The sequence below is a fragment of the Homo sapiens genome, chromosome 10 (genome assembly GCF_000001405.40).
Source record: "Homo sapiens chromosome 10, GRCh38.p14 Primary Assembly".
Taxonomy (NCBI): domain Eukaryota; kingdom Metazoa; phylum Chordata; class Mammalia; order Primates; family Hominidae; genus Homo; species Homo sapiens.
The window spans coordinates 52,908,858-52,936,814 of NC_000010.11; the positions used below are offsets into that span (position 1 = coordinate 52,908,858).

At 35.5% G+C, this 27,957-nt stretch overlaps 2 annotated features.

The window, feature by feature from the left end:
• Positions 14,574-15,300: an enhancer, noted in NCBI's record as "OCT4-NANOG hESC enhancer chr10:54683191-54683917 (GRCh37/hg19 assembly coordinates)". NCBI's record gives its function as "activates a minimal SCP1, AML or CMV promoter by ChIP-STARR-seq in naive H9 embryonic stem cells {active_cell/tissue: H9 hESC(naive)}" and the evidence as "EXISTENCE:reporter gene assay evidence [ECO:0000049][PMID:30033119]".
• Positions 14,752-15,046: a silencer, noted in NCBI's record as "tiled region #495; HepG2 Repressive non-DNase unmatched - State 24:Quies, and K562 Repressive non-DNase unmatched - State 24:Quies". NCBI's record gives its function as "represses a minimal TATA promoter and a strong SV40 promoter by Sharpr-MPRA in HepG2 and K562 cells {active_cell/tissue: HepG2 | K562}" and the evidence as "EXISTENCE:reporter gene assay evidence [ECO:0000049][PMID:27701403]".

Consider the following 27,957-nt stretch of genomic DNA (forward strand, 5'->3'; position numbering starts at 1 on the left):
ACGCTCATTGTCCACAGGAGGAAACGGAGGCCAGATAACTTGTGAAGCTTACAGAGTGTATTAGGCCATTCTTTCATTGCCGTAAAGAAATACCTGAGACTGGGTAATTTATAAAGAAAAAAGATTTAATTGGCTCACAGTTCTGTATGCTTTACAGGAAGCATGTGATAGCATAATCTTGGCTTCTAGGGAGGCTTCAGGAAGCTTACAATTATGGCAAAAGCAGGTGCAAGAAGGACGAGGAGGTGCTAGGCCCTTTTTAAAGACCACATCACATGAGAACTCACTGTCAAGAGGACAGTACCAAGGGGGATGGTGCTAGGCTATTCGTGAGAAATCTGCCCCCATAATTCAAACAACTCCCACCAGGCCCCACCTCCAACACTGGGAATTAAATTTCAACATGAGATTTTGGCAGAGCAACATTCAGACTATATCGCACAGCTAAGCAGTTGTTCTTTGAGGGCGGGATTCAGTATGCAGTATTTCACACATTTATTAAAACACATTTTTTTCTTCCATCCATTTTTCCTTCATGATATCTATTGAAATTCATATTCTATGGGATATGGTTTAGGAAATGTTGTAGCAGAGGAAATATGAAAGAATGTTGGGAAGAATGCTGCAGAGTGGTTGCATTTTCTCAGACATAAGAGATGTGTGTTACGCTAGCCCAAGACCAGGGAATCTTTGCCCCCTCTTTGGGGTTGGACAAAATACTACAGGCCCGTGACTTAATATTTCAAAATCTATGGAACCTAGTCTTCCCTTCAAAATAAATTCTTCCCATTTCTGGTAGATAAATCTTTGTTGGGGTAGTACTTAAAATATTTTAATTAAGGAGACAGAATAAATTCTGGTACAAGCATAATCCCTATGTTCAGAATCCTTTTACTTTACGTAGCTTATGGCCTTAGCTACACTAGCTAAACCTCAGATCTGACTTTTATCAGACAGAAGAGAATTTTAACAGCTTGGCTCACTTCTCAGATCATTTTAAAATATGAGTCTTTGTCAGCTACCTGAACAGGCAGTACATAAATTATGAAAAAGAAATGTTCAATAAACATAAAATGTCCAACTTCTCTCCTAATCAAAAAAGAAAAATAAGAATGATGAATTTTTTTATTAATCAGATTGTCAACATTTATGAAGTTTGATAATGTCATTGTTGGAAAGGTCTTACATGCATTTCTGGTGGGAAAGTAAATTATTACATTTTTACAGGACGATTTGGGAATATCTCCCAGGCTAAGGGGAAAAACGTTCATATCTTTGGACCTAGAGATGCCTGCTGTATATATTGTCAGTAAGTTCTCCTTTGTTCTTTCCACAACTCATCCTTTAAAATGGTGGATTACGTGTAATATCCAGGTTTTATCTGTCCTTGTAATAGGATTGTACATCCTCACTCATTGACATGTGTTTTCCAGTGCCTCTCACAGAGGGAGCATAAACTTCTCACTCCATTGACATCACTCCTGTCTACATGATTTGCTTTGGCCATGGAAAGTGAGTGGATATGATATATGCCATAACTGAGCAGAAGTTTGAAAGCCTAGATTGGTTTTGCCATTTTTTTTTCCTCTGCCACAAGATAGAAAAAGAAGTTGCCTCTTCAGCCTCAACCCTAGAATATAAATGACATAGATTCAACCTGAAGTCAAATATCAGCTGACATATATGTAAGCAAGAAATATTGTCATTGTAAGCCTGAAATATTGCTGTTGTTTTTTTTAACCAGAGCAAAACCTGGTATCAGCTAATGGAAAACCAATATTCACTATCTCTATACTCAGAATAAACTCTAGTTAACTTGGCTGTCCTCCTTTCCAAACTGTACAAATGTTTGAAATTTCTAATATATTTGAAAGTATGTATTTTCTTATGTTGTTTGCCAACTGTATTACATGGTCCTCTCTCAAGATGTATGTTAAACAGCTTCATGCCATATCATATACATTTTTAAAAATTGGAGTAAAACTTACATGAAAAATTAACCAATTTACCCTGTACAATTCAGTGGTATTTAGTACATTAACCATATTGTGAAACTACTACCTCTGTCTAGCTCCAAAGAATTCTCATCAATTCTAGTCCCAGTTTCCATTGGGAATTCTCATCATTCCCAATGGAAACCTCATATCCGTTAGGTAATAATGCCCTATCCCCCTTACCCCCTTTCACCTAGAAACCACTAATCTGCTTTCTGTCTCTATGGTTTTATCTTCTTTAGATGTCATATAAATACAATTGTACAATATTTGATTTGTTTGTGGCCTCTTTCAGGTAGCACGTTTTTGAGATACATCTACATTGTAGCATGCATCAGAACTTTCTTTTTATTGCTGAATAATACTCCATTTTATAGATACACCTTATTTTGTTTATTTGGGTTGTTTTCACCTTTTACCTCCTGTGAATAGTGCTGCTATGAACATTTGTGTACAAATGTGTGAGAACCTGTTTTCTATTCTATTGATTATAAACTGGGAATATAATTGCTGAGTCATGTGGCAATTCTGTGGCTTTTTGAGAAACCATGTAACTGTCTTCCACAATGGTTGTACCACTTTACATTTCTACCAACAGTGTATGAAGGTTCCAGTTTCCCCGCATCCTTGCCAATACTCACTGTTCACCTTTTATTTTTTAATTCTAGGCTTTCCAGTGGGTGTGATATAGCATCTCATTGTGGTTTTGGTTTGCACTTTTCTAACAATTAACAAGGTTAAACATCTTTTTATGTGCTTGTGTGCCATTTTTATGTCTAGGAAAATATCTATTCCAGTTCTTTGCCCATATCTAATTAGTTTATTATTATTTTTATAGAGACAGGAGGGTCTTGCTATGCTGCCCAGCCTGGTCTCAAACCCGTGAGCTCAAGGAATCCACCCACCTGGCCTCCCAAAGTGCTGGGATTACAGGCATGAGCCACCACGTCTGGCCTCTTTGCCCATTTCTTAACAGAACTCTTTTTTGCCCCAACTCTAATCTGTTTACAAAGTTAGCAGTGGCTTGTTTATTCGCCTTTCAGTGTTATTGAGAAATGCCCTCAGCACAGCCAGTTTTCTACCTTGAGAAAGTTCTGAAATAGGCAAAACAAAAGAGAGTGTTTTACCTTAGTCCCTCAGGGAGCTCCCTGACAGGTCAAAACAGAAAAACATAATTACATTAGACAAAGTTCTGCTCTGCTCCTGCTGGAGTCTTGAACCCACAATGAGAATGTAAGCTTTTGTTTTAAGACCACCACAAATCCATGGAGGGTGCTGGAACTTGGCCAAAGAAAATGTAGCCAAGTTCTGCCACGATTAAGTCACTTTTCCCTTGATTCAGCATTAGCTTGGTTACTGTACACTTTGGGCTATTTTTCATAGTTCCAACACAGTTCTTTCTGAGAGTTTGGCTTTTTTTTTCTAATATCCCATGATACATATATATACTTTTAAGTAATTGTCTCCACTGCTGGAGGATAACAACATAGGGTTGTTATCCAAATATCCTTAATGTATTTAAAACCATTTCTGAAGATACATAATGTTTGAAAGCCGTTGATTCCTGCTTGACTGGTGAAAATGACAATGAAATAGTTTATTTCTTCTTAATGAGTAATCCCAGCACTTTGGGAGGCCAAGGCAGGCAGAGCATGAGGTCAGGAGTTCAAGACCAGCCTAGCCAACATGGTGAAACTCCGTCTCTACTAAAAATACAAAAATTAGCCGGGTGTGGTGGTGGTAGCTGTAATCCCAACTACTCGGCATGCTGAGGCAGGAGAATCACTTGAACCCAGGAGGCAGAGGTTGCAGTGAGCTGAGATCGCGCCATTGCACTCCAGCCTGGGCAACAGAGAAATACTCAGTGTTGGGAAAAAAAAAAAAAGAGGTACCCATTTATTTAGAAGGAAGTAGCAGGTACCAAAAAAAAAACATTATTTGCTGGTTGGTAAAGTTCATTAATTGACTTGCTCTACATTGTTTTATGTTTCCAAACCAGAGAGTCCTCCAATAAACCTGTTTAAGAAAAATACCAAAAAACTCCAGTAACACACAACAACAAAAAGCAAAACTTAACTCATACTTGCTTCTTGGAAAGAACCCCCTTTAAGACTAGATCAATGCCACAGTCAAACTCATATAAGCAAGGAATATAATTGTGGTTGTCAGGGGCTGGGAGGTGGAAATGGAAATAGGCCAGGTAAGGTTGTTCACAGGGAGGCAGAGGTGGGAGGACTTCTTGAGCCCAAGAGTTCAAGACCATCCTGGGCACCATAATGAGACCTTGCCTCTACAAAAAACAGCAACAACAACAACAACAACAACAACAAAATTAAAATTAGCTATGCATGGTGGTGCATGCTTGTAGTCCCAGCTATTCAGGAGGCTAATGTGAAAGGATCACTTGAGCCCAGGAAGTTGAGGCTAGGGTGAGCCATGAGCCATGATTACACCACTGTGCTCCAGCCTGGGTGACAGAGTGAGACTCTGTCTCAAAAACAAACAAACAAACAAACAAACAAAACCACGAAATAGAGATGAAAAGAAAACCAATGACATGATTAGATTTGCTTAATTTTTACAAGGAATGTTTGTGTAAGGTAAAGTAAGAAGGAATAAACATAATAACCAAAGTTTCTTCTGAAAATGAGTCATATTTATTTGGAGGCACTAATTACTGGATTGGACTGGGTTTATAGGTTTGAAGATTTCTTAATAGGAAACATATTTTGAAATACATATATATATATAAAAAGTCACATGATCCTTTTCCTTTTATGGTATACCCTATGCTTTTTAATAAGGCAAAGTTAAATTAATGATTTTTTATTTTAAAAATAGGAGACAATTCTGTTATATTGTGTGATTAGATATGACCATTAAAGTTGACTCTGCAAACTTTGTTCTATAATAGTAAATGGACATTTTTGGGGGCTTAGTATAAGGGTAGTGGTTGTCTGGGACAAATATTTCACACATGGGTAGCTTATAGGCTACAGCTATTTTTAATCTGCCTAAACATCTGTAATATACTCAAGTGTATGCCATCTGTTTTTTTTGTTGTTGTTGTTCTATAGTCTCATAATATTTATTAGAATAAATTGTATTGAATAATTGCACAGTTAACCTTGTTATATTTTTGGATGTACTTGCCTTTCTGAAGCCAACAGCCAATGTAATGGATTAATAGGAGGCATTAGCCAAGGTTAAAGAGTTATTACTATATGTAGCACACTGGCCATTTAAAAGCCTGGCAAAGGGCCTCTAGAGGAAACATGAATTGTGTGATGTTATCTTCCTAGTCTACATTCCACTATGGATATCAATCTAGAAAATCCCATAATTTTCTTCAGGTTCAATTTTTTTTTTTCAGCAAATCACTACAATTTCATCAGTAAAATTTGTTGAGTTTTTTGGGAGCAAAAGCCTACCAAAAGTGAAAGAATCATATAATCGTAGAGTTGTAAGGAACCTTAAGATCCCTTGGCAAATCACACCATTTTTGGGGGGAAGAGTGTGAGGAGAATGGTGAAGAAATTGAGTCTGGGAGAGGTTCTCTTTATGATGATAGATTTGTAGTAAAAGTAGTAATATTAAAAATCAATTTTAAAAGTAGGAATTTAGAAAAAAAGTCATGAGTACCTCAATAATGTATTTTCATGGAAGAAGCCAGTGATTTTGGAGGTAACACTGTGACTTGAGGGGATGGATTTTAAAGAGTTATTTGAAAGAAAGAGCCACTGATAGAAGGAGAGGAAAACAGCACCATGTTAGGAAGGTAAACAAGAAAAACTACAAATATGGAGCCAAAAAAAAAAAAAGAATACTCAAAGCATGCTGATGAATGCAGTTACATCTTTTTGGAGAGAACTTTCATTTGTATATTCTAGGGCTTGTCCCTTAGCACAGAACTGTTCGAATGTTTGTGTAGATGATTGATATAACAATACAGACGGTATGCAGAAGACCCAAAGTTGAATGGAAAAGCTGGCTAATATGCTTTTTGTTAGAGTTGAGAATTAGAAATATGGAAACCTTGAGCCCCTGAATACAATAGTGAATAGCTTTGAATGCTGTTTAAAAATATAATAAAAAGTAAAGCTACCATAAATCGTTTGACTGAAAAAGAGCAAAATTTGTCAGCAGTGCAAGGAGTATACACTTTGCTTGATCAATAAGCTCAGTGTAAGGCAACAATATATCAAAAGATTGAATACGCATTTTTATTATTTTATAATAGTCTTAAAAATATATCCAGAATAGGTGATAGAATAATGCTATTCAAATCTTAACCAGAATGTTGTGTCTACTGGGTATCATATTGAAAGAAAATCAAGAGACCTGAGTAATGGCCCCTGAACTCCTTTAAGAAACTATTGAAAGCTCGATCTTTTTTTTTTCCTGAAATAAATATGGTTACCATATCCTGCCAATGAATTCAAAGAGTTCACATATCAATGCTGAAAATCTTTAAAGTAGAACAGCAAGTAGAAGTAAGCCAGGAGAAGAGAAATTAAAACCATACCATTTGAAGAATATGTGAATTAGGAGTGTTTAGACTGGAGAATAAAAAGTCTGATGGGACCTGAGTTGTAATGTGATAGGCCTTACAGTATTTATCAATATGAAGTTGGCCTCTTTTCCTGGCACATTTCCATGAGATTACCTCTGACCAGTGGCATGAGGAGAAGGATGTGCATTATTCCTGGGCTATGACATCTATTTGCTGCTGTGAGATATACCAGCGATCATTCCCCCTGCAATGTATATCAAGCAGGCAGCATATTCATGATAATGCAGTTAAAGATGGGAAGTTTTCCATCACTTTAGGTTTCTCAGTAACTATGCTAACTCATGATATATATGTACAGTGAAATATCTTCACTGAATTAAGCAACTGGGATTAGGGGACTGCAGCATCATTTATCATATTTAGATAACTTTTCACTTTCTAGGAAAGACAATATTTTTATTATTTTGATTGTAATGAAATTTCAAGACAGTAAGAATAGAGATTGGGCAAAATATTTTATTGTTTACTTTTTAAAATCAAATATTATGGCTAGCAAAAAATAGCTATCACCCAATCTTGTCATGCCTACTGCATGAAGGTGACATTCTCCAACTGTCTAACCTTTCTTGGGTCCCAGAGATGCCATAGCTCAAGGTATAGACAGATGACTTACTTTGGGATCACTAATTACAGCTAGTCCTTTGACAGTATTAGTCAGCCAATCACTCCTGGAGGGGTGGGAGTGGAAGGCACTGAAGCCTTGAATTACTTCTCTCTGGGTAGAAATTGTGCCCATGTGGCCATATTTAAGCCCAACTCCAATTCATCACTGGGGATGCTGAAATCTAAAAATAAAGCACACATGATCTCTAAACAAAGAGGTTTGAAGCATGAATTTTTCAAACATTCTGCCTACCTCTCCCTAGTTGTATATATCTGATTTATGCTCTGGAAAGGGGTGCATACTTTTTTATGTGTCTTTTTTTAAACCCAAACATAATAATCTTGGTCTAATTTCCATTAAAACTAACTCTATTCCTTGTTATCAGGTGAGTCATAAAGAAGATATTCCCAAGGATTCCCCATCATAATAAGAAAAGAGTTGCTAATAATTAGGGCTGATGAACAATTAGATCCACCAGGTTTCTCCTGGTTCAAATATTCAAATAGTGACTGTATAGAAGGCACCTGGCACCAGGTAAGGGCTTGGACTCGATGACCTCTAAACTACAATCAAAAGCTGAGAGTCTGTGGTTGTATTTGCCTAAATATCTCCCGTCTCTTCTGTTTTCATAGGCACTTTTTATCACAAGCTATTGACAGCACAGATTTTTATCTAATGCATATAAATGAATGTTTATGAGAAATTCCAGAATGTTTTATAAGACACTACTTTTTAATAATACAAGGCTGTAAGGGTAAAAGTCTAAATTTTCAACAAAATAACCAAATTTGCATATAACCGGTCTATGCAAAGGCAAAGTGGAATTGAAAAATTCAAGAAAATGCCAGGTAGCCTTTTTTAAGTGGTGGGAGTCAGTACCAATTCAAGAGCCAGCATCTTTTAACATTTTTATATCCAGGATACTAGACCAAGTCTCTTGACATTCAAAAGAATAATTCTTCATGACTTAATCTTAGCAACAAGAAGTGATTTCACAGCATCCCCTCCATTTTGACCCCCGGTCAGTATCCTCTGACCATTTTATGGCTTGTTTTATTTGTCTTTTAAAATAAATATGAATCAACATACCCAAGAAAATGAATCTTGCACTACTGAATGGCATTCCTGAGGAAGTGAATTTAGCATTACTGAATGTTGGCTATCACCATTGTTATGACTTTTAGGGGATTTTTTGTTGTTGTTGTTTCAGGTTTAGATAGGAGCATGCATTATTGATTTATGAAACAATTTGTAGCTGTTTGCTGTTATGTCAAACACCTTGTGCCACACAGTATTGAATTCCTTTGTCTGCTACTTGTAAGCAGTGTGCTCATGTTTTAAAAAATGAAAAAAGAAAAGAAAAAAATACAAACAAAACCCTTAGCAAAATTGGTTTATTTGACTCTAAATTTTATGTTGTTTATATCTGGAAGTGATTCCAAGGGAATCAGAATATCACTTGCTGATTGAGATAGCACAATTCCTGAGAAGTAATTAGAACATATTCTATTAGTAGATGTATAAGCTACTGTAAATGAAAGATAAGGAGACAATGTTTTCAAGAAAGAAATGGCAATGATCATATAATGGTTGTAAGCACAGATTGTTCTCCAAAGACAGTTAATTTTCTCAAAGTGTACTCTTGAATATTTTTTCTTTTTTCTTCTTATAATTCTTACAGATTCAATATCTTAACTTATCTCAGCCTAAGTTTCCTCCTCAGTACAACAGAGATAATTGTATCTAAATTGTACTGTTTTTGTACATATTAAATGACAAAGTAATACATGCAAAACATATAACAGGTTGTTTAGTATATAGTAAGTGTTTGTTACTATTTTTATTGTTACTGTTAACTCCTACTGTAATGAATTCTCTTGATATAGGTAAGGATGTCTATCTAGCTTAGAGAAGGACTATGCTGGTGGAAATAGTAGGAGACTGTACACCAGCAACCTTGGCTTCTAGTCCTTGTTTTTCTGCTAACGAATTGTGTGGTGATCACCAATCCCTTATCTCTTTGAGTTAAATTTAAGACACTTGTTTGTATTTTGTTTTTCTCTAGCTGCAAGAACCCCCAACATTTTCAAGTTAAAAATTTCTTTGAATTTATGTAAGACAGCATCATGATTGACAAAATATCTTACTACAAATATCTTATTAATGATAAATACTGAAAACTACACATTATGGATGTCAAGTGATTCAGAGTATTTTCTTCCCTTGGTTATAGACAGTGCCCCTTTTACTGAATGCCCTGCCAGCAGATCTCCTTTCCATCCTCCTATTTCACACACTGCTGGCTCTCTATCTCTTACTGAACACTTTGAGAACACTATTTTTAATGGGAGAATCATCTTGAACTTACTGAAACCTCTTTGACCAGCTTCAGATCCGAGAGTGGGTAGGTGAAATGTGGACTGGGCATTGTGTTCTATTACCTGTCTAAAGATAACTTTGTAAATAAATTGTTAAGGCTGCAAGTGGGGCTTCAGTAATTGTTTTTCTAAATTCAGAGATAAAAATTCCCTCTGGGCCACCAGTCAGTTCGATCTGTTTGAAAAACAATGACTCGTCATCATCCTCATTCTTCTTATAATCTTTTCAATAATTTATTTCATGAAGAAATGCTTATTCCATGCCAGGCACAGGGTTTCATGTTTTTAATACATTATCTTATTATATCTTTACAACAAACCAACAGGTAGGTCCCATTATCTCTATTTTTACTGGTAAAGTCACAAGGCTTGTGAAGAGGATGTCTCTATTTGAGTGCTGCTCTCTTTAAATCCAAGGTCTGTGCTTTCTGTTGTTCCTGCTTCTTCCCCATCAGATTAGATCAAAGTTTAATCTTGCTTTCTCATTTCAAAACCTGACTTTGTTGGAGGAGAGCCTGTAAGAGAGGAAGTGAGACTAGATCCTATCAATAGCTTCTCCTGAAGGGTGACATTACTTCTGGGCTAATTCCTTATTGAAGGAACTATGGAAGAAAATTATTACAGTGCTTGTCTCTTTGAAGGTGTTTTTCTTAAGTGAAGGCAGCCCCAAGGAGTCCCCAAAGGAGTTGTAATTGAGTTGCTCTTCCTTTTACTCATCACTGTTAAGCCAGGTATGCAAATAACACTGAGGCATTTTGGAAGGTTATTTGAGTCCTGCTGTTTGTTCAAGCAACATTTGAGAAACACTATTAGGAAAATGTGTGCATGTTCTACATCATTTGAGATATAATGAATCTTGATTATTAGATTAATCATATTATGTGTGTCAACTAGAAAAATGTGCCTTATTTGAGGGGTGATATTTTTGTCAGCAGGTACTAGTGAGGATGTTTTTTGGTAATCTATTGAAAGATGAAGTCACAGATTTTTTTAAGGAGGTTTTAGCTTATATTTGACTGAGGTTGAAGAAGCCAATTTGGAAGGCAGCTACTTGTGAAGCTCTCTAGATATTAAGTGTTATTTCTAAAACAAATAATCACTCCAGGAAATTGTAAAGACCATGATCCCAGGAAAATCTTAGGAGACAGTAGAGCATAGAAGGAAGAACAATGAACTAGGAATGAGAAACTGCTATGCCAGTAACTAACTGTATGTGTGTCTTAGGACAAGTTACTTAACTAGTGTCAAGCTCACGTTCTGCGTTTGAGAAGTAAATGTGGTTGCGTGTTTGATCAAGCAGTTTCTAATGTCCCATTGAACTACATATACCATGATTTGAAGTGTATGCAGAATTAATGATTTGCTATCAGTAAGGATGTTTATTTTATACCTGTTTCCTTAGATGGCCTTCTAACACAATGAAAGATGACCTTAAATTGTTGAATAAAAATAGTATTCATCTTTCTAAAAATCAAAACTTGTCCATGTGTTAACCCTTTATTGTCACATTAGCCTTTACACTGTATGCATATTCCTGTCAATGTATACAGCTAAGAAAAGGTAACAGACCGCCAAATAATACTGACTTTACTGGTGTACGATACAGATATTAAAGTTTAGAGGCTTCCTAATTTCTAGGCAATTGGCTTACCTTTTCATAACCTTACCTTAACTCTGAAAGATAACTACAATGAGCTGAATTGTGCACGCCCCTCCGCTCAGATATTGAAGTTCTAACCCCTAGTATCTCAAAATGTGACTGTAGGTATTTGGAGATAGGGCTGTGAAAGAGGTGGTTAAAGTAAAATGAGGTCATGGGGGAACCCTAATCTAGTATGACTGGTGTTCTTATAAGAAGAGGAGATTAGGACACAGAAAACACAGACTAACATGCTCATGTGAGGATACAGAGAAAAGGAGTCTGTCTGCAAGCCAAGAAGAGAGGACTCAGAAGAATCTGTTGACACCTGGATCTTGGACTCCTAACTTCCGGAACTGTGAGAAAATACATATTTAAGCCATCACCCTGTCTATTGTATTTTGTTATGACATCCCTAGAAAACTGATACAGCATTATTATTCTCAGTTTTTGATTTAGAAAATGTGACTCAGAGAGGTTAGTTAACTGGCCAAAGATCACACATGGTTGATAAATGGCAGAACTTGGAATCAAACCTGTTTTTCTGTCCATGCACTTTCCATGTCACCATATGGTTGCCTTATTAAGCAGAACAGACGACCTTTACTCTTTCATGGAGCATCACAATGTCCCATGTAAGAGTCTATGTAAGGGTAACTGCTTGCATAGACTTACAAGGACTTTGCAAGCGTGACACCTTCAGGAAGAAGCAAAGCCTGTTGCTCAGGAGCCTGAGTTCCTTCACTGGACTGTTTGGGACCTGGCACTAGCCCTTGGTCTTTGAACTTGAATAAGCTACATAAACTTTCTGTGCCTTTTTCCTCCTTATATGATGAAATGGAAATAAAAATACCTACCTTATATGTTTGTTGGGAGGATTAAACGAGATACTGCATATACAGCCTTTGGAGTAGCCCTTGGCATGTTTTAGGAGTCAATACATGTTAGCTGTTAATAATGCTACAGTTGCTATTATTTTTATTACTTCATTTGATCTGACAACTATTCTGTAAGATGAATAACTTAAGGGACTTTTGCAATTTTTATGATCTACACTTATGCTAAAGAGAAGAAACAAAGGCTCTGAAATTACAACAGGTTATTTATTTTGAATGAGCTCAGTTTGTTTTATTTTAATTTCACCTTCATTTTTTAAACTAAATTAGCTTATTATAACTTATTTGGTTTTTGTTTATAATAACAGTATGATTATGACTCGAATTTTCACATAATTTTTGAATTAATGGGATGCTGGGTATCAGTCTAGGGACAGGTCTGTTGAGCTAACCTGTAATTGTTTCTTTACACTTTTAAGGGACTATCCTCAATATAAAAATAACCATTTTTTGGTAGTGATCTTTTATGACTGAGAATATTTTTATTGTACCAGAAAACTACAATTTTCTCCATTTAAACATTGGAGTTTTAAAAGCTCTTAGGGTTTGAACCAGGTCAAGTCATGTTTGCAATTACCTCTCGTTTCTCAAATAGTTTCCAATATGTAACAAAATGCAGTGTAAAAAAAGGGATTTAATAAACATCGCTATATGGGAAATGTTTTTAGGGATATGTTGTTAAATGTCCTCAGTATTTACTAAATGCTTTTAAGCAAAAACAAATAAAATAAAATTTCCCTTCAGCACTTTTTAAAAATTAATTGTGTTGTACAATAATGTTTTGATTTATGTTCGTATTGTGAAGTGGCTCAGACAAAAGCTGTCTAATATCTGCATGACTTCACATACTTGACCATATTTTGTGGTGAGAACATTAAAAAATCTACTGTTTTAGCATTTTTCAAGGATATAATATATCATTATTAACTATGATCATCATGATGAACAATAGATTTCTTGAACTTACTCCTGCCTAATTAAAATTTTATGTCCTTTAACCAACATTGCCCTAATTCTCCTAGCCCCCCAGCCTCTAGTAACATCATTTTACTCTCTCTTTTTATGATGTCAACCTTTTAAGATTCTTCCTAAGTGAGATCATGCAGTGTTTGTCTTGCTGTGCCTGGCTTCTTTCATTTACTGCCTTAAGGTTCACCCATGTTGTTGCAAATGACAGGATTTTCTTCCTTTTTAAGACTGAGTAGTATTCTGTTGTGTATAGGTACCACACTTTATCCATTCATTCTTTGATGGACACTTAGGTTGATTTTATACCTTGGCTATTGTGAATAATGCTGAAATGAAAATGGAAGTACAGACACCTCTTCAACATACTGATTTCACATCCTTTGGGTCTATACCCAGAAGTGGGATTGCTGAATCATATGATAGTTGTATTTTTAGTTTCTTGCAGAATCTCCATACTATTTTTCATAATGGTCATGAAAGGATATAGGAGCAGCAGAGTCAATGGTTACTTGTTTATGTGGAAAAAAATGTTTAAACTAGAAAAGGCAAAAGAAATATTTAAGAGGCATTTAAAGCACAATAATATTTTTTTTATTTTAACTACTTTGTTAAATGAGTTTTTATCAATAGATTCTGGTGAATCATATCACAGGGTACTAATAATAGCCATGAATTTTCAAGGAAATACCAGAAGGACAATGACCTGCTTCTCTCAGGATAACACCTTGACCTTACAACGAGGGTGCTGCGCAGGGCAATGGGGACCCTAGTATTTTTGGTCTATCACATTTGGCATAGATCTGCCTCAGGAGTGGGAACTGGATGAAGAAAGATAGTCCAAGGCCTTTTGGCTGCTCTTGCCTTGAATAGATCTCCTTCAACACAGAGCTGGGTGTATGTGATAAATCTTGGTGGCCTGCAACTTCCAGGAAGAAACTTCAGCCCTGACTGGGAGCTGGGAACAGAGGGAACCCTCTGTTCTCAGTAGCTCTGTTAGTGGTAGAGTTTCTTTTGTGTTGAACTAGAGAGATGGAGAGGGCATCGATCCCGTATTAAATGACACAGGCTGCTTGGTATTCTAAGAGTTAGTAGATTTTCTTGAATAAATGTATCTTCATTTTCTGTGTGCCCTTAGGACAATTAACAGAGACTTTAAATAGTTGTAAGTGTTGTTTTAATAATTTTCCCCAGTTATGGTTATTTCACTGGAGATAGAATTCACACAGCCATTCTGGGAGTTTTCTATTTAGTTGTCATCTGTTAATTGAGGTATTGGCAAGTGAAACTGTGCTTAGAAGAGGATAAAGCAGTGTGAATGTTTCTGAAAACCAGGCCATATTTGTAATAAGTGGAAGTAATAGATGAAGAGATGCCAGGAAGCAATGTTTCCACAGATGTAAAATGATGAAGACAGCTTTAATCTGGATAGCTCCACAGAGCAGAACTAAATTTTATACACAGAATTACTAGGAGGAAGATTTTACTAAATTTTTGAACAAATTTAGTTGAGTAAAAAATAAATGACAGGCAAATATGTGGCCCTGAACTCCCTTTGGAAATGTATTGGCAAAGCGGAGTCATGTTTTAAGGGAATGCTAAAGGAGATGTCTGCAGTGATAGATCATCAGGCAAAAATGAACATAGAAAAGTTTACATTTCACAGAGGCCAGCGGGAGGCTACTGTATTAATCAAGGTGAGAGAGGATGCTTGTCTGAAGGGGACAGTAGCAGACAGAATGGAGAGAGGTAAGCTAGCACCGAACATAATGGTAAAAGCTGTGGCGAAGGATCCAGGAATGTATGCAATTAAGCACAGCATGCTGTAGACCAACAGAGTTCACCTGATTCACAGTTAATGACTCTCATTCCTTTTCATTTATAGTCTAATGGGCCATAGGTGTGATAAAAGGGAATGTTTAGACACGCATATATTTGTATCTTCGCCTCTTTAGTTAGATGTATACTTGCTTCATTAAAGCTTAACTTCATATAGTTCAAGACATTGAGACATTTCGAAATGTAAGCCTTTCCTTGCCATATCAGCAGCAAAGGGAAAGATATACAATAGAGTGTTACGAGCACAGTGTTTCTCAAATTATTTGACTACACCAAATATCAGGAGTTTCCTGAAGCAACAAAAATGAATAGTAACACAAATAAAAACAAAAGAATATATGTCTGTTTATAAGTTTCAGACCTAGATTACAAGGTCAAGCATACTTTCATGCATTTAAAAAAAAAATCAAAGAAGATAAGGGAATATCTCTACAAAAAAAGTTCTATGAACTAAATGTCCATGAAGCAGCACAAGATAAGCAGAATAAATAGAGAGAAGTCTGGATAATATAGCCTTTAATCAGAATATAGGTATAAACTCTATTTAAGAGAATTAGAATGTGACTAGAAAATAATAAATTTTGACAACCAGGTCATCAATTTTGGTAAAATAAAGGGATGTGAGAAACTCAGAATTTTAATTGTGATTCTAAAAAGCTCATCTATTTTTCTTTTAGTAAAATCACAATTTTTGAGATACACCTAATTACGTAAAATGCCAGAAACTTTTTCTCTATGTATGCATTTTTACTTATGCCTTTAAAATATTCAATGTTCTGCTCAAAGTAATAAATTTTACTGTTAATATCTTCCGTCATTTAGAATTAGCTTTACTTAAATCTCATTAAAATACTATAATAGAAAATGGGACCTCTGTACATATTCAAGAACAAGAAGCAAATTTTCAGTAATAGTTTTTTACAACAGATTTTTAGGGCACATATATTATAAAAGATATTTCAACAAGCGATTCTCAAAATTTGTTTTGTATGTGAATCCTGTTCCATTAGGGTGGTGCAAAACTAATTGCGGTTTTTGCCATTGCTTTTAATGGCAAAAACCGCAATCGCTTTGTGCGCCAGCCTGACAAAATGCACCACAATTCAGCCAAGAGTCTAATAAAAATGTATGTCATTAAGAAGAAGATCTGTTACAGGCATGGAAAAAAGTTTTTCATCCTGCTGTAATTAGGGGTTTTTAAGCTTTGTATTTCTTCAATAAATGTTTTCTATTTCTTAAAATTTGTCCTGCAGTTACAATATGACATCATTGATCAGCTTATGTTATAAAGGGGCTGACATTGTAGACGAGATCCCCTTAATGGACTTCACAGCTTTAAACATAATGATATGGTTAGGCTTCATGTCCACATTCAAATCTAATCTTAAATTGTAATCTCCATAATCCCTGTAATCCCATGTATCAAGGGAGAGACCAGGTGGAGGTAATTGAATCATGGGGGTGGTTCCTCAGGCTGTTCTTGTGATGGTGATTGAGTTCTCATGAGATCTGATGGTTTTATAAGGTGCTCTTCCCCCTTGGCTTGGCACTTCTCCTTCCTGCCACCTTGTGAAGAGGTTGTCTTGCTTCCCCTTTGCCTTCTGTCACGATTATAAGCTTCCTGAGGCCTCCCCAGCCATGCTGAACTGTGAGTCAATTAAACCTTTTTCCTTTATAAATTACTCAGTCTCTCAGTTATTTATAGCAATGTGAAAACAGATTAATACATACAAGTAAAGCAAATTAATACATACAAGTAAAGAAATTAGAAAAATATAACAGAAAATAATGTGTTATAACTAGGAAGATAGCCATTCATTTGAATATACTCCTTATACTTGCATTCCTCTCTTTGCAGCTAGAAAAATATGATTTTTATATTCAGAAGGTGATAGTTTCCTATGTTAAGACTTTTTATACCATTAACAAATCATGAGTTCAGATTTAATGTAAATTTAATTTTGAAGGGATTTACATAAGACCATTTTCCATGGACAGTGTGTCATTACAAGAAATTTGAACACTGCATAGTTTGTTTGCTTGTTAATTGCTTAACATGAAATATATAAATAAATGAAATGTGTTTGCATTTTATTAATAATTATTATGAGCATTTAAATGCCAAGTTACTTGAGTGTAAGTATATGTAGAAGCAAAATGCTTCTAATTTAATAAATATGGTAAAATATAATCTTCAAATTAACAATAGTTAATTGATCTACAAATGAATCAATTTACCAAAAGTGAATAAATGCTATGACTTGGATGATGAGAGGTCTAATTTGAGTAATATTTTTAATGTTAATTTTGTCCAGTGAGCGTTCTAGCTTTTTAAAATATTTTAACTTTCGTTTTAGGTTCAAGGGTACATGTGTAGGTTTGTCCTTAGGTAAACTTGTGACTCAGGAAATCACCAGGGTACTAAGCATAGTACTCAAAAGTTCTTTTTTCTGAACCTCTCCTCCTATCCTCTTTCCTCAGGTAGACCCCATTATCTGTTGTTCCCCTTTTTCTATATGTTCTCATTCTTTGGCTCCCACTTATAAGTGAAAACATGCAGTATTTGGTTTTCTGTTCCTGCATTAGTGTGCTAAGTATAATGGCCATCAGCTCCATCCATGTTCCTACAAAGGACATGGTCCTGTGGTTTTTTTTATGGCTGCATAGTATTCCAAGGTGTATGTGTACCACATTTTCTTGAATGAGTCTACCGTTGATGGGCTTTTAGGTTGATTCCATTTCTTTGCTATTATAGTGAACATACCAGTGCATGTGTCCTTATGGTAGAACAATTAATATGCCTTTGAGTATATACCCAGTATTGGATTGCTGAGTTGAATGGTCATTCTATTTGTAGTTCTTTGAGGAATCACCACACAAATCACCACACTGCTTTTCACAGTTGTTGAACTAACTTAGTTGCAGATTTTATGAACGTCATGAATTGAAAAGGCTGGCTTTGATCTTCTCCATCATTATTTTAGGAGAGAAGAAAATGTTGTGTAGAGTAAGTTTATATACTTTCAGAAAAAAAGTAGAAGAAAATGCTCAGTTCTACATAAAATTTAAATAGATGACAACTTTGAATTTTGTCTCATTGCTTCATGCTAAAAGTAATATATAGGTAGGTATTGATTAGGTTATAAAGCCTATCAAACATACACATGTGACTAACACATTCAGGCTCTCTTCAGTGGTTGTATTAGTCAAAATTGGCAGTTAATGCTTTACTGTTAGCCCTGAAAATTCCAGTGGTTTAATTCAATGAAGAATTATTTCTGACTCAGGCTATATATTTAACGTGGGTCAGCAGGGAGTTTCTTTTACCTTCCACTCAGATTAAGAGGGAATCTTGGCCAGGCACAGTGGCTCACGCCTGGAATTCCAACACTTTGGGAGGCCGAGGCAGGCTGATCACGAGGTCAGGAGTTCGAGACCAGTCTGACCAACATGGTGAAACCCTGTCTCTACTAAAAATACAAAAATTAGCTGGGCATGGTGGCGCACACCTGTAATGCCAGCTACTCAGGAGGCTGAGGCAGGAGAATTGCTTGAACCTGGGAGGCGGAGGTTGCAGTGAGCCAAGACTGCACTATTGCACTCCAGCCTGGTGGACAGAGTGAGACTCCACCTCAAAAAAAAAAAAAAAAATAGGGAATCATAAGCCCTGGTTTCATGGTCACTTGGAAACAAGAAGAGAGAGTGCTGAATCTAGCACTGGCTGCTATTGCCTGTAATTAACATTTTTGTTAACACTTTACTGGCCAAATAAAGGTCACATGTCTTTGCCTGATTTTGGAGATTTGGAAGCATGAAATCTCATCATGCATTGGTATGCCAGACTGCTATTAACTTCAGTAGTGATGGTACCAGGTTCAAGAGACCAAAGCAAAGACCCAGAACCAGCAAACAAGACATATGGTTTATTAGTGGGAACTTACATACAGGGATGGTCCAGTGGCAGGAGGCTGGACAGGAGAACTGCAATCACTTATAAAAGGCATGCAGTTTACAAAGCGCCTTCACTTAGTGCCCTTCCGCTAGCAACCTCCACATGGTAACGGTCATAAGTTATTGCTGTCAGATGCATCATTCTCACGGTATGCTGGTTATTGTTGTTAGATGTGTCAACTATACACTTGCCTAGAAGGCATGGAACCTGAGTATTTAGTAAATGTAATTTACGATAATACATGCTGAGTATTGGCCCTAGGTCATTGCTGGATAATGCTACATCTATCATCCATGTCAGAAGTTAAAATATATGTGCCAACATTTTTTGAGAATTGATATATTCACTTCAACATACGCTGATATATGCTAGATGTGATGATTCCTTTAATAATTGAGAATAGTGTCAGGTTATAAAGATCACATGCATCCAATGAAGCACATCACTAGGTAAAGTTGAGAGATATAGTTGGGCGAGACTGGGCATTGAGTGAACATTTTTTATCTGAGAGAAGTATCATATTAATATTAGATCAGAACTCTTAAAATTGGATTCTATAATGGGAATACTTTTTAATGGGAGAACAGTAGGTATTTTAGTCCATGTAAAACAGCTTACAGTCCACAGTTTATAATTAGATGTTTTCATTTTTTTCTTACTCTTTATTTTATAATGTTGTATTTTGAAATGAATTAAGTACTTAGTTTAACTGATATTCTATGGCATTGTATGAAACACACTAAGAATATTAAGTGTATTATTGCTGTTAACTTTCTATTCTTAACAGATATATTTACTAAGTTATCAATCTAAATGTCTATTAATTTGGTGGGGACACTAAGCTGAGAGAAAAGCAGAGACCAGTGGAAAACTTAAACTGCCTCTTGTGTACCGTAACATGACTTCATGTTTCATAACAATCAAAACAAATCATTAGAGCTTTTGCTGCTCATGAGAGAAGTCTTTGATCATTTAAGAAGTCTTATTAATAATAATCTTTAAACTCATTTTTATGCATAAAACATAAGTTGTATTTAAAAGATGAGTATATATTTCATTGTGTTTATTACATATTGGATTTTAAGCACAAAGCATTTCTTAATGGCATTTCATAATTTTTATTTTAACAATGAATATCCTAAATATGATAAAATTAAAGGTCATTTTATGTTCACAACATATTAATTTGAGATATATATTCCATATCAATTTCTAATTTATATAAAATTTTAACATTTATGGAAATCTTTCAAGGCACATAAAATGTAAGTTTGCTATTCATTATTCATAAACTATGGAACATAAATCTTTTAAGTCATTATTTAAACATTTAATAAAATGCAATAAACCTTTATATCTATATTTAAGAGTTTTTCCGCCCAAAGGCCAGCAGTATGTGAAATAATTTGTTCTTATGCTGTCAATCAGAGACATATCTTATTTAACAGTCGACACTAGAAGAGAAAAATTATTCATAACCTAGAGATCACACTGTAGGCCTATTTACTTTCTCAACCTTCTCACACTTACATTTATACAAACAACTGAATGCTTCATCGATCGTTAAAAATCTACCCAGAAATATTTCCAAACCACGGTCTTTCACGCATGAGGAGCCTATATATTTCAAGCATCAGACAATTAACATTTTGTAGAAAATAATTCTATGGTAAGGCAGAGATATAAAGAGTAAAACAAAGATTTCCTAGTTACTTTCCTTGATTAGATGGAATTTTGAGGTTTGTAATTGCTATAACAAGCATTATGTTGCTGAAAACAGGTATTAGATTAGGGGGATACATATGAGGAATGTGCTAGTAAACAATAGACCTAAAGAAGTTAGGTACAGGTGATAGACTAGGATTTCCTCAAAGTTTTATTAAATTGGATGGTTATGATTTGCCCCATCCTCCTCATCTCCTTTTATCTGACTACCTTACCTTTGGTTTCATTTTTTAAGAAGTTATTCTGTTCATTAAGGCTGTGTAAAACACTGGAATTATATAAACCTATACATCCTGTCCTTATTTCTATCATACAAAGTACATTCCACTTTGAACACTGTATTGTAATTGAATGTTTACTAGAGGTCACCTCTTTTAGGACAAGAACTGATCTATAAAATGAAGATACAGAGATCTACTTGTAAAGTGGTTGTGAAGATAGTGCCTAGAAAGCACTTAGCCCAGCCTGTGACATGTAAAAGGCTAACTATTCATCCCTAGCACCCAGCAAAGTAACTGGGGCTTTTTTGGTGGGTAATAAATGTTTAAATCAATGAATAATTAAAATTCACCCTGAGTGAATGGAATAAACTATGTACATTGGAATATAGTAGGTTAGCATTAAAGATGGTGGGGAAAGGTCATAAATTCAAGGTCAGAATTGTTGGAATGGATTTTTTTTCTTCTTTTCTGTGCTTGTATTTTAGAGCAAATGACAGCATGCTTTACAAAGAATTAAAATTTCTAAGTTCTGATCCTGGTTTTGCAAACAGTTATCTTTGTGACATTAGAGAAGTTTTCTAACTATTTTAAACATTCATTTCTAATTGTACAAAGATGCTTAACTCCATTATTTCCAAGGTCCTTTGAGTAACAAAGTTACGATGATATGAAAATTTCCTTGACGTTGATGACCGGCCTGAGCAATTAGCTGGCCAGGATGAGGGACACTCCTATTGGGAAGCGAGTGGGTATTGTCTTGTTTTGTCGTGCTTCAGTAACCTCAGAAGCAGGAAAAATTTGAGAGCTCTCCTGACCCTATGGAAAATGAGGAATGCTCATATGCCTACATGATTCCTAGAGATGCAGAAATGAAAAATAAAATAGATTTGTTCGTGAAGCATGAATTTAATGATAACAGAAAGAAGTTCAAATTTGCATTACAGAACCGAAGCTGTGTGGGAGTTACAATTTTGCTACAGATAATCCTCATTTCACTAACAAGAAGATGTATTAGTTAGGGCAAGGCAATACTGACCCAATAATACAATTGCTGAAAGTCAATGGCATAGGTCCATGGGGCAGCTCTGCTCCACTCAGCCATTCAAGAACCTATGTTTCTTGTAAGTTACCATCGTATTTAGGGCATCGTATTCATCTGTGTGGTCAAAACTGGGTTACTACAACATCTGGTTTCCAGCTGGTAGAGAAGAAGAATGATTATACAGGAGCACGTGTGTAATGAAGGTAACAGACATCATTTCTTCTCACTGTTTTAGTTGTTTTTTTTTTTTTAATGAGAACTTAGTTAAATGAACACATTTTAAATCAAAGCATATATTTTTTGCTATATGTCCAGGAAGAAAAAGAGAATAGATTTTAGTGAACATATAGAAGTCTCTGCCAGGCACAGTGGCTCACACCTGTAATCCTAGCACTTTGAGAGGCCGAAGGAGATGGATCTGTTGAGCCTAGGAGTTTGAGACCAGCCTGGGCAACAAGGAAAACTTTCTTTACCAAAAAAAACCCCAAAAAACAAAACACAAAAAAGAAATCTCTACCACTGAAGGTGACTATAAGACTTTTTTTTAATCAAAAGATAAATGGCCAGTGTATTCAATATGCGTTATCTGATGAAGTATTGTATACTTTTGATTCATCTATGATCATATCATAAATATATACTTTAATATAATCATGATACAGTATAAACATATAATATACAGTGTAGCTATTAATATTTTCTTAAAATTATGTTTAATAGATTGGAAATGAGTTCACAGTAAACTGTTAATTTAAAATACTGTTATGAAACAACAAATCCAATTTTTGTAAATAAATCTAGTATCTATATATAGGAAATGTTGGAATAATATACATGAATATGTTAGTAGCAGTCATTGCTGAAGTTTCTTAGCTAGTTATATTTTCTGATTTTACCAATGAACATGCATTTATCCTATAAATAAGTAAAAGTAACTCAAATTTTATGTAAAAACAAAATTTGAGGATTTTGAAATGATCACAGGGGAATTAAATTCAAGTTTATTCTACTTCAGCTATGGTACTGCTAGAATTACTAATTTCTTTATCTAAAAGCTTCAGATAGGCTTTTCAAATCCCAAAGCAGAAAACTTGGATGAAAGAATGTGGGAAGGAAGGTGTTAAAAGAGCTGGCTGTGATCCTCTGTTTCTCCCATGATTAATATGATAATTTTTTGGTCAGTTCAGGCTGTCATAACAAAATACCATAGGCTGACTGGGTGCTGAAATAGAAATGCATTTTCTCAGAATTCTTCAGGCTGGAAGTCTGAGATCAGGGTGCCTGTATGGTTGGGTTCTGGTAAGGGCTCTCTTCCTGTCTTGTAGACAGTATTCTTGCTTTGTCCTTCTCCCTATGCCACCATATGGCATATTGGGTGTGGGAGGTGGGAATGGAGAAAAAAGGGTAAAAGAGTGACAGCATATGACACACCCTGGTGCCTCCTTATAAGAGCACTAATCCCATCAGAACAGTACCCCACCCTCAAGATCTAATTGCTCCATCTCCAAATACTGTCACCTTGGGGGTTATAGCTTTAACATATGAGTTTTAGAGGACATAAACTTTCAGTCTGTGACAAGAAAATGTTACAAGAGAAAATAAAAAAAGACAGATAACTGGTCTACTTTTCTTGTATATATAACTAGACCTCTAGGTAAACAGACTAATGGTATTTCCTAAGAGGAGTGTTTTAAATCTATAAAATACTTTGAATGAGTTGCCTCTTTTTTGTATCTACTTTTGGTAAACTAACCTGCGATGTAGATGTATAGGTTCATGAAGCATAGCTCCCTGGTGAATATCACATAAGCTGTACAAGTGTTACGGATATAAAATGGAGCTGTTTCATAACTTAAACCTCTCCCTGCATGGTGAGACAATCCACAACCCTAACTTTGAGATCTTAACTTTTATTCTGTCTAGAAAGCACATGCCTGATGAAGGAAGGAGAAGCTGGGAGCCATGCAAGATGTAATAGACATCTCCTTGCTATTTTTGTGCCATTCTTTCTTATATTCTTAAATTACTAATAAAACTTGATACTGGATAGAATCTCTACTCTGCATGAGTCTGACTTAACAACTTAATATTTTATGTTAACTTGAAAAAAACCACTAGTTGTGACTTGTGGTTCTCTCTAAGTAATATAAAAACGGTGCTATTATTAGAATAGTTGCATGTTGTAACAAATTCACATAAAAAGTCTTATCACAAAACCCATGAAAGCATAAAAACATAAAGTGAATATCTAAAATGAGTGAAACATTTGAAAATGAGTCTTTATTTATTATCTATATGATGTAGTTGCTTAAACGTTTTCATTCTGTTTATGTATGTGTCCTGATGTTGAAGATTTGCTTATTCAGTACTCCAGCCACGTTATACAAGGCAGCAATGTTTTACTATCAGAAAACTTGATTCCTTTTTCAAGAGAATTTCAGATTTCTATTAAATAGCATTATTTTTTCCTTTCCAAACCAAAATAAAGAAGATAAACATAAAGGCTTAATATCAGCATCAAATTGTCTTTTTTTATATCAATTCATGAGTTTTTGTCCATATGCAATATATTCAACAATTAGGAATTCGGTTAAAATATAACCAAAATAATCTGATCTTTAATACAATGACTTGCTGTCCTTTTTCTTTCCCCTTTAAAGGAAGCACTTTCTCTAAACTGAGTCTAACAGAAAGTTTTATGCATTCAAGTTTATACACATTCTGCCTGGAACACCCCTCTGGTTCAGTGTTGCTTTTAGCTTGTCATGGGTCATTCTCTGGTAACAATGATGATCACCTGAAACTCTGATCATTTATTTACTTACTATGCACATGTCTACTCTCTACTGTAGTCAAAAAGATGGGGTGGAGTATGCTTCTTTTTTTTTTTTTTTTTGCTTCTTTAGTCTTTAGTCCCTACAAGGCTAACATCCAAGTCTGCATAAGTTTCCAGTAGAGATGCATCAAATTTTGGCTTCAGCCATGATATAAGGCCAAAATTGGTTACTTGTCATCATTTAGCTTTTGGTCTTTGTTAGCTGAATGAGCAATATCTACTTTAATGTTATCCAAATATCATTAAGAACAGAACAAACATGGAAGTGCTATCAACAGTTTTGGAAGCATACAATGTTTTATTCCAAAAAGTACATTTTGTATGCAGAATTCAAAATTCACAGGCTATGTCACAAAGTTACTCAGTTAGCAAAATAAAAATGGGCCTCTTTCATCATTTTTCTTCAGGTTTGGAAATCTGCATAATAAGCAAAAAAAGAGTGGAATTTTTTTCATGCAATTATATATTTAAATTATCTGAAAGAACAATGACTGCATGTTTAAAAACATTTCCTGAAAAAAGTTGTAATATTATACTTTGCTGATACAAATACTGAAGTAAATATGTAACGAATGGCATACTAATACCAAAGTGGACTTACTAACAATCAATGATTGCTTTAGAAAGAAGAAATCATTCACTAAAAATTAATCACACAACCAAACTGATATCTCCTGCATTCAGATGTTTCTTACATGATGACTGTGTCCTGTTCCTGGAAATAATTGCTCAAGTTGGTACATGTGCAATAAAACTGAGATGCAATTGGGAATTTGGAGGCAATTTTATTATCAGAAAAGTCAATCATACACATTCAACGCAACTTTTATAGACTGGAGATTTAAGGGCGTTTCCTCAAGTGATTGTGTTATATAGCCTAAATGTAAATGAAAAATTAGAAATAAAAGTTAGAGTGAGGGCAGTAAGTCTGCTTCTGCAAATACTCAGAAAGCATCTTCCTTAAGCTGTGCACAAAGCTTCAGTTTCTAAGATTGCTTCAGTGAAATTACAACATCACCATAGGTGAAATCTGTTAGTCTAGGAGTTAAAGAAGAGCTGTCTTTAAATAGTTATTATTAAAGATAAAAGAAAGCAAGAATTTGTGGCGACAAGATCCTTGACTGTAATCTATTCAGGTTTATCTGGACCAAAACATATCTTACCCCTCCACTAATCACAATTAAAAGTGAGCATACATTTAGTACTACAAATATTTAATGCAGTATCTTCAGAAGGAATTAACAAGTGATAATACTGAGAAGTAGTTTTCTGTAATGTCAGAATAATAACAAAAAGGAACTTGATACTATTATTTTAAAATAATAGTTATATCACAGCCTTATGAAGTGTTTTAACTTCATTTGTATATCTTAAATCTTTATGATATTATTTAAGTTCCATCTTGGTTAGGAATAAATTGTGATTTCAACACTCAACTATTTAGTAGTTAGCCAAAAGTTCCACTTTTTTGTGGCTGGGGGTGGGGTTGGGGGTGGGCGGCACAGGATCTTGCTCTGTCGCCCAGGCTGCAGTGCAGTGGCACAGTCAGGACTCACTGCAGTCTCAACCTCCGGGGCTCAAGCAATCCTCCCACCTCAGTCCCCTGAGAAGCTGGGACTACAGGCAGGCACCACCATATCTGACTAAGTTTTATTATTATTATTATTATTATTATTTTAGTAGTGATGAGGTCTCATTATATTGCCTAGGTAGATCTCAAACTTCTGAACTCAAGTGATCTGCCTGCCTTGGTCTCCCAAAGTGCTGGGATTACACACGTGAGCCACGGTGCCCGGCCAATTCCATTTTCAATAAAACCTTTTTTTTTTTTTTTTTCTGAAGGCTCAGGACAATGAAGGAAATTACATTGTAAGAAGTTAAAGGTTAAAATTCCAGCAAACTTGGTCTTTTCTTGGACTCAGAAAGAGAGTCCCCAGTGGACATCTCCCTTCACTCTTTATCTGAATTTCTTGACTTCAGGTTGACATGCAAAACTCAAATCTTTTTCCACAATGAGCAAACTTGCTCTGGCTTCCTCCACCTTACCCCTGTGCCCACCTCCACCCTGGATGACACCATCTCAAGCTGCACCCAGCACTAATGTTTCACAAGTATCTGGGAGGAGGGTAAGTGCAGGGGATGTGCTGTAGATAGGCTCGTATGCCTCCTTCGGGTCAGAGAAACACTTTTCTTTCCATTTAAATTTCCTTTTCAATATTACTTTCAGTGGGAGCTGCAGGCCTGCTGACCCTCTACTATTACACAATAAATGGTGACCTATTTAATACATACCTCTTTTCCAAGGACAAGCATTAATATTTGAAGAGACAGTGTGCCTTTAGTTCATATTTAGAAATAATATTTCCTACATTAACAACGTTTCTGCCCTGCCCTTGGAGTACCTTGTTCCCCAATGTTGCTCTGAGGGGCTTTTAATTTCTTTTCCATTTTTTCTCTATTGCCCACAGGAATCATAAAAATTTACATTAGTCCTTAATGTCCACTTTTATTGAAATCTAGGGACACACTTGCTGTCCCTTTCCACTCCTTGGAGTCAGAGCCTCTCTTTGATTTAAAGAAAATGGAAGCTGATGATTACTGATATGTCCTACAACTGACCCATGAATAAATAAAGACCCGAATAGTCATTAATATGCTGCATAGCAAGTAGACATACACAAGGAGAAAGGTTAGAATTAAAATAATAAAATAATAATCCACACTTCAGTCAGTAGCACATATAATTTCATCTTACCCTAGCTTCTAGAGGGTAAAATGGCTAACTCCTCTCAAGGGGTCCTCAGAGTGGGCTGAGGCTAGAGAATTCTTTTCCAGAACTGGAATAACTTGAAGTAGAATCTTCAAAACTATGACCAACCAGTAATCGTAAAATTAATATCGAAAATCATCTCATAATAAGGAAGCTAGATCTGGTCCTGCAGCGGAGGAATATGGGCTGGAGAAAGGGACAGTATTTCTTGGCCCTGTGGAAGGAACAAGCAACTGGACAAAACAGGGAGTTGTTCCATGGAAACACAGGAGGCTGGATTTTCTTGTCCTCTAACAATAGATTTTAATCATCTGGTGTTCTAAGAGGATCATGGTATCCAAGGAAAGATGTGCTTGTTTCCAGATAATGTACTGACTTGCTCATTTGTTCACTTATTCAACCACTTACTATTGAGTTTTGGGCTCTGGAATTATCCACTGTAGTGAGTAAAATAGACAAAGATCACTGTCTTCATCGAGCTGACGTTATACAGAGGAAAGGCAGACAAGAAACAAAATAAAG